This window comes from Homo sapiens, chromosome 10 (genome assembly GCF_000001405.40).
Source record: "Homo sapiens chromosome 10, GRCh38.p14 Primary Assembly".
Taxonomy (NCBI): domain Eukaryota; kingdom Metazoa; phylum Chordata; class Mammalia; order Primates; family Hominidae; genus Homo; species Homo sapiens.
The window spans coordinates 71,703,086-71,711,531 of record NC_000010.11 but is presented as its reverse complement, the minus strand read 5'-3'; the positions used below and the strand labels follow the sequence as shown (position 1 = coordinate 71,711,531).

Sequence of the window (8,446 nt, the reverse complement as noted above, 5' to 3'; positions counted from 1 at the left end):
GACTCAGCCCCAGGCAGCTCTTGGGTTGTCCTCCCTGGAGGAAGGAGCTTGTAACCAGCGCTGCATGTCCAGGCAAGAGTGGTCACCCCAGGGGGTGGTGCAGGCAGCTGGAGTAGCCTGGAGACCTAGGGTGACGCCATCCTTCTTCCCCAGGCCAGCTGACCATACGTGGCAGTGCTGTCGCTCACTGGAGGTAGGTCTTCTCACCCTCCAAAGCTCCTCTCCAGACCAGCCTCCCACCACCCTTGGGGGTTGGCTTATTGCTCTGGCTGGGATTGGTGTGTGTGTGGGAGGCTCCCTAGAAGGCTGGCAGAAGCCCTCTCCTCCTGCCAGGCAATGCCCAAAGTGAGGGCTGGACTCAGGGGTGATAACAAGTCTCCAGAGGGTGGGCAGCCATTCCAGGAGGGGAGGAGAGCAGGGCAGAGGGCAGAGGCATCTGGGCATGGGCGGGCTGGGAAGGGATTGATGGTTGGAAAGAGTGAGGCCCAGAGAATTCATTCCCTTCTTACTCAGCTCACTGCAAACTTCCTGGGAGGACCAGGAGCACCCGGCGGCACAGGTCTCATCATACCACTCTTCCCCTCTGGGGCCCTCAAGGGCTCCCTGCTGCCCAGAGACCAAAGACCAAACTTCTTGGCCAATGTTTAGGCCTCCACACATGGCCCTACCTGATCACAGCCTCCCCTTCCCCAGTGTGGGCCACTCCATGGGCCAGCTGCGGTGCATGCACGCATGCTTGTGCACACAAGGCACTTTCCCACCTCCAGGCCCTTGCATGGGCTGGTGCCTCTGCCTGAAGTGCCCTCCCTGCTTCTTCATGTACTGAAACCTTATGTGGCCTCCAAGGCTGCAGTGGGCACCCCTTGTTTCTGTCCATCAGCACTGCCCTGTGCTCCCCTGGGAAGGCCATGTCCTGAATGTCCCCCTGTGGACCCTCCCTTCCAGGCTTTGAGGCCTGGGATGCTGGGTAGGTGGGACTGCCCCCAGCTCCCTGCACATCCTAGGCTGGATTCAGCCTGTAGCCATCCACCTCACCAGCAGGCCCTGCTGGCCACTAGGCACTGTCTTCCTGGAGGTTGGGGTGGGGGGTGAGGCTGCCCTGAGGCCTGAAGAAGGAAAAGCCCAGGAGCAGGAGGGCCCAGGATGGGCATGTGACTTAGGCTTAAGTAACCAGCACATCTCACTTCCCTGGCTACAGTGAGGGGCTCAGGAATGGGCACTGGGGCAGAATGGATCTATCTAGAGCTGATCTGAGGGCTTCTGCCAGGGAGGGGAAAGAGACAAGTGCTGTCTTCCATGCCGCTGCACTTGAACCTGAGAATGTGTACAGGTGAGGCTGGGGCAACGACCTGCCACCATGTGAGTTGAAGAATAAAGCCAACTGATATGGTTTGGCTTTGCGTCCCCACCCAGATCTCATCTTGAATTGTATTCCCATAATTTCCACATGTTGTGGGAGGGAGCCAGCGGGAGATCATTGAATCATGGGGGCATTTTCTCCTACACTGTTCTCGTGGTAGTAAATAAGTCTCATGAGATCTGATGGTTTTATCAGGGGTTTCTACTTTTGCGTCTTCCTCATTCTCTCTTTGCGTGCTACCATCCATGTAAGACAGGACTTGCTCCTCCTTGCCTTCTGCCATGATTGTGAGTTCCACGTGGCCTCCCCAGCCACGTGGAACTGTAAGTCCCATTAAACCCTTTTTCCTGTATAAATTACCCAGTCTCGGATATGTCTTTATCAGCAGCGTGAAAACAGACTAATACATCAACACACAGGAGGCAGCGCCAGCCAGTGCAGAGACTGAAGCCTGAGGTGTCACCTGAGCCCTGAATCCAGTCATACTGGGAGTTACATCTCCCAGTGGACTGGTTTTGTGAGCCCATATTGCTGAAGTCAGTTTATTTTATTTTAAAATTTTCAACTGAAAGGGTCCTAACTCACTCAAAGGCACTCCCAGATGCCGATTCGTGAAGGAAGCCTCCCGTGACCTCTCCCACTCTGTGTTTGCACCACTGCCCAATACTCTTATGTCATCCTTTTCCCTTCCTGCTGGCTTGCCTGGATTTGCAGTAATTTGTCTACATGTGGGTCTCCCATGTAGCTCCCACCTTACCATCCTAGTGTCTTGCATGTGGCACCATGCAGTGAGCCTCATGCCCGGCAAGTGCTGAGTAATGTTTGGTGAGTGCCTGGTGGCCCTTTCTCCACTGGCATCTGGGCAGAGTTCAGCCTTTAGCAAAAGGCCAGCTCCTGGGAGGCACCCTGTGTGAACTCTGCCCAGATCACTGTGTTGGTGGGTGCGGGACTGGTGCATACCGATGGCCTCCAGGATGAGCATGTAGGCGGCTGTGGTCTCCCGGTCCAGGCCCACCACGGTTCTCACAACGGCATCGCGGTAACCCACGCTGAACTTCCCATCCACGTTGCCACCTGTGGGTGAAGGAGAGGAAGCTTCCGGCTGGGAAACAGAGCTCCCGGCCAGGGGAAGCGGGGACTCTGCTCCTGAGCTGGGACCCGCGATGGTGAGTCCAGGAGTGGGAGGCTGTGCTGCTGATTCGGCCCTGCCTGAGGTGCTCTGATGCGGGTGCAGCTTGGGTGGGCTCAGCGGGGGTGCCAGATGCCTGGAATCCGTTCCTAACCTTCACGAAGCACCTCCTGTTTACAGGTACTTCATGCAGACCATTTCATTTAGCCTCCACCTCACAGAGGAGAACCCCTCACTCAGTGATGTGCCTGTGCCACTCTGGGTTTCTCCATGCGTGGGTCCCTGGGCTTATCCTTCACCCCTCTGCTCCCTGCCCGTCCTGCAGAAGCGTCTGAGCAGCTAACCTGCATAGGGGCTTGTATATGTTGCTGAGAACTCTGGGGTTGGCTGAGCATCCCCCAGGCCCCTCATCTCGGAGGTGAGATGGGCTGAGGAGCGAAGCTTCCTGAGTGGGGACATGGAGGCTCCACAGAGGGAGGAGTCAAGGCAGGTGTACAGGAGACAGGGATTACTGAGTCTCCTTGAGTTCTGGGACAGGTGGGAAGTGTGAGGGTCTCCTCTCGCGGTGGACGGGAGTCAGGAAGGAACTCCCAGAACAGCGTGGAGACCCCTCCCCTGCCAGCTGGCGAGCAGTGTGGTGTTCTGGGCAGCAGAGGGCGCCACGGCACCAGCTTTGTGGTGAGCTTGGGCAGGACTGGGCTCAGCTCCTTGCAGAATGTGCACTGAAAATCCGGGAGGGCTCTGGGCAGGTCAGCGGGAGCCCACCACTCTGGGGTGCTGAAGAGTCATCCTGCAGGCTGCCAGGTGCTCCCCCTGTTCTTGCTGGTTTGCCCCTAGGGAAAGCCTCCTGACCCCCAAACCTCCAGTGCTCCCCAGTGTCTGAAGTACCATCTGCAAGGGACACACTCTGACTCCCGGGGAGCCCAGGGCAGAACTAGGACGTAAATAGTGTGGGCAGTGGAGCCACGGAGCTGGTGCCATGTGAGGGGTCTTAGTAACTAAGCCCTCCCTAGGGCCGACTTGAGGGCCAGACTGTAAGGAGTGGGCCTGAGGGTGCTGGGCCCCTTCAGGGAGGTGAGGGAAGAAAGGGAAGGCTGAGGGCTGGGAGGTCACGTTGGCCGCAGCAAAGCCACAGATGGGCTGTGAGCTGGGCATCCTTGCTTCATGGGGAGGCATTGGGAAGGCTGGTGTGTGCCCTGCTCGTGTGTACAGGCACACATATGCAGAGGCAACATGTGTGTTGGTAGGCAGGTCATGGACAGAGAGAAGACTGAGCCAGTAAAAGGGCCAAAGAGGGTTGAGGAATGGGGAAGACTGCACCCCCATGTGTCCCAGCATCTCTCGTGTGTCGGGGAGGCTAAGAAGCTGTGTTCTCATCCAGGAATGGCAAACCCATGGCATGTGCGCCACCATCTACCAATCCTACCACTGTGGCAGACATCACTAATCCATTGCAGCTCACTTTCCCCTGTGAGCCAGGACATGGCCTCATCATCTGTGGCCACAGCTCTGCAGACAACAGCCAGGCAACATTTTTGAGCTAAAACCATTTCATTTAGGGAGATCAAAACCATCTGCCTCTAAACAGGTGGGAATTCTCAACAGGTCCCCAAGGAAGGATGAGGCCACATTCCTCCAAGTCACTGCTCTGTCACCCAGACTTGGGGCGGGGAGTGGGGCTCAGGGCTCCTCCCTAGGAATCATGGGGCCTTACCTCCCTCTAGAATGAACCTTGGTAGATGCTCCCCGTCCCTGCAACCAACAGGTTCAGGAGGTCCCCAGGGAGCCAGTCCAGAGTGATCCAGCTGCAAAGCCCTTGGGAAGAGCCAGGAGCAAATCCTCGGGAGGCACCACCAGAGGCTAAAGCCCAACAGTAGAGCCCTGACCTCTTTTCCACCCTCACCTGCCCCCACCTAGTCTGGCTGTCCATCTGGGAGGGGTGGAGGCAGGGCCCCAGGAGGCCTGCACAGGTGGGCGGAGGCCGGGGCAGCACCTGTGATGAAGTAGCTGAGCTCTGCATTGAGGCCCACGTCGTTGTCCGTGCAGTTCAGCCAGACCACCCGGAACTCGCGTGGCACGTCCTCGGACACAGACACATTGTACACGGCCGGGAAGAAGGTGGGCGTCTCGTCGTTCACATCCAGCACTGCGGGGCAGAACGGGCGCCGGGGCTAGGCCTGGCTTCTGCCGCAGAAGACCCAGCTCCAGAGCAGCGTCTCCAGCACCAGACCAAGTAGGGAATGAATTCCCAAGGGAGTCACGGGCTCCAAGTGGCATCTGTGTCAACACCTCCTGGCCATAAGCCCAGGGCCCCCCATGCCCACCGGGGCCAGGACCAGGCCCACCAGTGCTCCAGACCCTCCCGCTGTCCCTGTGCCCTGGGGGCTTATTGCTGCTCAGCTGTCAAAGGGAGGAGAGAAAACCTTAGAACCTCTCTCCAGTACGCACCTAACAACGACCATGGCAACACGGACAATCATGACAACGATGACGACAGTGACCATTTACGAGCTTGTCCAGCGTGCCAAGCCCATGCTGAGTGCTTCCCATACAGGACCACATGCAGCCCTCTGAGCACCCTAGGAGGTGGGCATTATTAGACACACTGTGGAGCTGAGGAAGCGGGAGCTCAGAGCAGCTGAGTGACTTGTCCAAAGTCACACAGTGGCACAGTGGAGGGCTGGAGCCTCAAGGTCTACCCTCAGCATGCAACGGACTTTCAGCAAAGGGAGCTCACTTTGAAAATCCCACCCCCCGAAATAAGGTTTAATTTCCCTTACAGATGTGTTTACTCCGCTCTGCATGCTAGGCCCCTATTCCTCAGGCAGATGGGGCTTGGACAACCTTCATAGCGAAGTGATCCCCACCCCACTTGGGTTCCTCTGAATGGTATCACCAGGAGAGATCCTGGGCCCATTTGATGTTATGGCTTCTGCTGAGTCTTGGAGAAAGGCCCTCCAGGGGTCCTCTCTTAAAGCTGGGACATATTCCCTGTCCATCATCGGCCAATAAGGGGGTCCTGAAACTGGCAACAGAAACCCACAGGCAAGCTTCGGACCAATGGGAGAGAGAATGTTGTGCTCTCTGAAATCCTCACCATCTTAGGTCTCAACTGAAGAGGGTCAGTGTCTGAGCCTGTGCTGAGCTAACTACACCCTCCCCCGCCCCCTACCATCCCATGGAGGCCAGCAGAGCTAGGATGGGATTGAACAGGCTCAGGGAACAGGCCATGTCTTGCCTGCTAAACTCTGCCCTTATTTCCCTGGGGTTATTCCTGGCCCCTTGGCAACAGCTCATGTCTGCATCCTGTCCTGAAAATTAAAGACTCATCCAGAGTGGAAACAGTACCCCGTCCCTTCACCAATAGAGGGCAGAGACACTGGGAATGAGCATGAGAGTCCCAGGGGGATGAGGATCTTAGGGAGTCTGGGAGTCCCAGCTGCTCTCTTCCCAGGGTGATGCCCTGCTACTGCCAGTCCAGGGGTTCCACACCCATGGGAGGGGGAGGTCTCCTTTATGTCTCCCAAACAAAAACTCTGGCCTTCCAAAGAAGACAAAGGGCTCTGCACCCTCCCTGCCTGTTCATGACCCTGAGGGTCCCGGGCCCTGCTCAAGCCCTCTCTGCTGTTGCCACGATCAGAGGCTAGGAGGGGTGGGGTTGATGGGGCTTTGGCAGCAGGTCCAGGCCACTGCCCCTGAGCTCTGGGGCACTGAAGGCAGTGGTCAGGTGTGGAGAAGGCTCTGCTGTGTTGAATGGCTCCAGCTGGGGAGGGCACCTCATTAACAAGGGAGCCTGTGCCTACAAGTCCAATAGACAGCAGTGGGGGACATGGGCTCCCCTCTACCCCTGCCCCTGACCCAGGCCTGTGCCCACACACTGAGCACACAGCAGAAGCCCCTGCGCCCCCTCACCATGGATGGTGAGCGTGCTGGTGGAGCTCTTGGTGGGCGTGCCTGCATCACTGGCCACCACCCGCAGCTGGTACTCCGCGATGCGCTCGCGGTCCAGCTCGGTGGTGGTGACCACCACGCCGCTGCTGCTGTTGATGAGGAAGTCCATGCGGGGCATGCCCACCGGCATGCGGTAGGACACCAGGCCGTTCAGGCCCTCATCGAGGTCGATGGCCACCACCTGAGGGCAAGGAGGGGCAGCATGAGGGTGGGGAGGGGACACTGGGATGGATGCTTCTCCCCCAAGAAGTGCTCCTCCTCCCTGCCAAGCCACACTTGGCTGCAGCTAGACACATCTGCTCCCCTCCAAGCCTTAGGCCAGGCCACTGTCCCCAGGGCACCCTCCCAGGCACCCTCTAAGGGGGTCGCATGTCAGCTGAAAGGCGTCCAGATGCACCAAGTGAGGCCGGTGATGGGGTGGCAGAGGGACTTTTTAGAATAAGAGCTCAGGTCTCTACAGCGCTTTCTCCCCTTCATCCCCTGCTCTCCCCATTAGGAAGCCCTCCCAGATTTGGAGCAGCTGTTCCAGCTTAAGGACCCCACCATTATCTGGAGTTCAACCACGTAGAAGGCTGGATTCACAGACTTCCCCTGCCCCGCTTTGCTTTGATTTGTGAGATAGTAACAACAAAAATAAAATTACATCAAGGGTTCTTTTTTAAAAGTCACTTGAGGATTTCATTATTATTATTTTTTTAAAAAACTGTTTGTGGCCATGCACAGGCAAGCCTCCTCCCAAATTCCTACACTGTTCTCATCTGCACCTCCAGTCCTGATCAGATTGCCCGACTCAAGACCCTGGTACCCTGAATGTTTTACTGAAGTGGATTCAAGGCATTTGGGGAAATGTGTAATAATAAATAAAATAAGAGTTTTGGATTAAGCCAAGACTCTCAGGATTGGGAGACAATATCAAGGTCGTCTGATCTATTTCACATCCAGCAAACTGGACGAGAGGTGTCTGGACTCAGCTTGAATGCTTTCCAGGACGGGGGGCTCAGTACTTTTACTTTACTTGCGCACAGCTCTACCCCCTGGAGAACGCTCTTCTCCACAACCAGCAGAAATCTGTATCTCCTGAGGTCCTAGGTGGGACCAGGGAGCCACAGTTCAAGGGAGGGCCCTCATCGTGTATGTGAGGACAGTTTCCAAGTTAAACGCTCCCCGCTCCTTCCTCTATGAACTCAGAAGTTGCATTGGTGGGCATCTTTCTTCGCTGGTTGTGAGCCCCCAGAGAACAGGGTTTGGGGGTTGACTTGCTCTCACCCCGCCTCCCCTCCGGTCTGGGGGCTTCCTCGGGGACCGACTGCCGTTCCCTGGATTGAGGCGCTCCCTGCTGGGAGTTTGGGGACCTGCCAAAGAACACCATTCACCTCCTCCTACAGATGAAGAAACTGAGGCACAGCGGGCCTGTGGGGCACCACCAAGCTCACCCCCTCTGGCATCCTGACAAACAACCCCATCTTCTTCTAATGAGAACAGGCTAACCTGATACAGCCATTGTGTCTCAGGTATAAGCCCTCGTGACCGACACACAGTGATCACCACAGCTACTGTGTTTCCTGTGTCCAAGTTCCAGGGTGCTTCATACGTGTGTCTGATTGAGTCCCCACAGCACAGCCAGGCAGGTACTATTATTATCTCCATTTCACAGATGAGAAGCTGAGACTCAGAGAGGTTAAGCAGTTTGCTCCAAGTACACAGCACCCTGGTGCTGGAGATGGGATTCACATCCCCGTTGGTTGGACTCCACGGCCCATGCTCTTAACCAGGAGGGTCTCCAGTGTTTCTGAATGGCCCCCGGAGGGCAGAGGTGTTGAAAGGACTTGAAACCCTGGATGTCATCTCCCCTAAACCAGCACCTTCAGGATCCCTCTAATCAGAGGATGATGGAACAGGAGGCAAAGAAGCCAGGCCCAAGATCAGACCATGTGCTTGGCCAAGGGGTCTTGGGCAAGTCTCTTTAGAGCCCTGCAAAGTAGACAGAGGCCCCTCTACTGTAGTAA

The 8,446-nt window shown here is 56.6% G+C and overlaps 1 protein-coding gene across 3 annotated transcripts in view; it reads right to left on the bottom strand.

The window, feature by feature from the left end:
- The window catches only part of CDH23 (cadherin related 23), a 419,028-nt gene that overhangs the window by 104,416 nt on the left and 306,166 nt on the right, over positions 1-8,446 (bottom strand). For 2 of the 3 annotated variants that reach the window (NM_022124.6, NM_001171930.2), the window contains exons 25-27: positions 6,402-6,621; positions 4,483-4,635; positions 2,321-2,434 (exon numbers count right to left, since the gene is read on the bottom strand). In NM_022124.6, the coding sequence (NP_071407.4) occupies positions 2,321-2,434; positions 4,483-4,635; positions 6,402-6,621 (487 nt within the window). Of the gene's footprint in view, positions 1-2,320; positions 2,435-4,021; positions 4,636-6,401; positions 6,622-8,446 lie in introns of those variants that run through there. The other variant, NM_001171931.2, reaches the window with a different exon arrangement.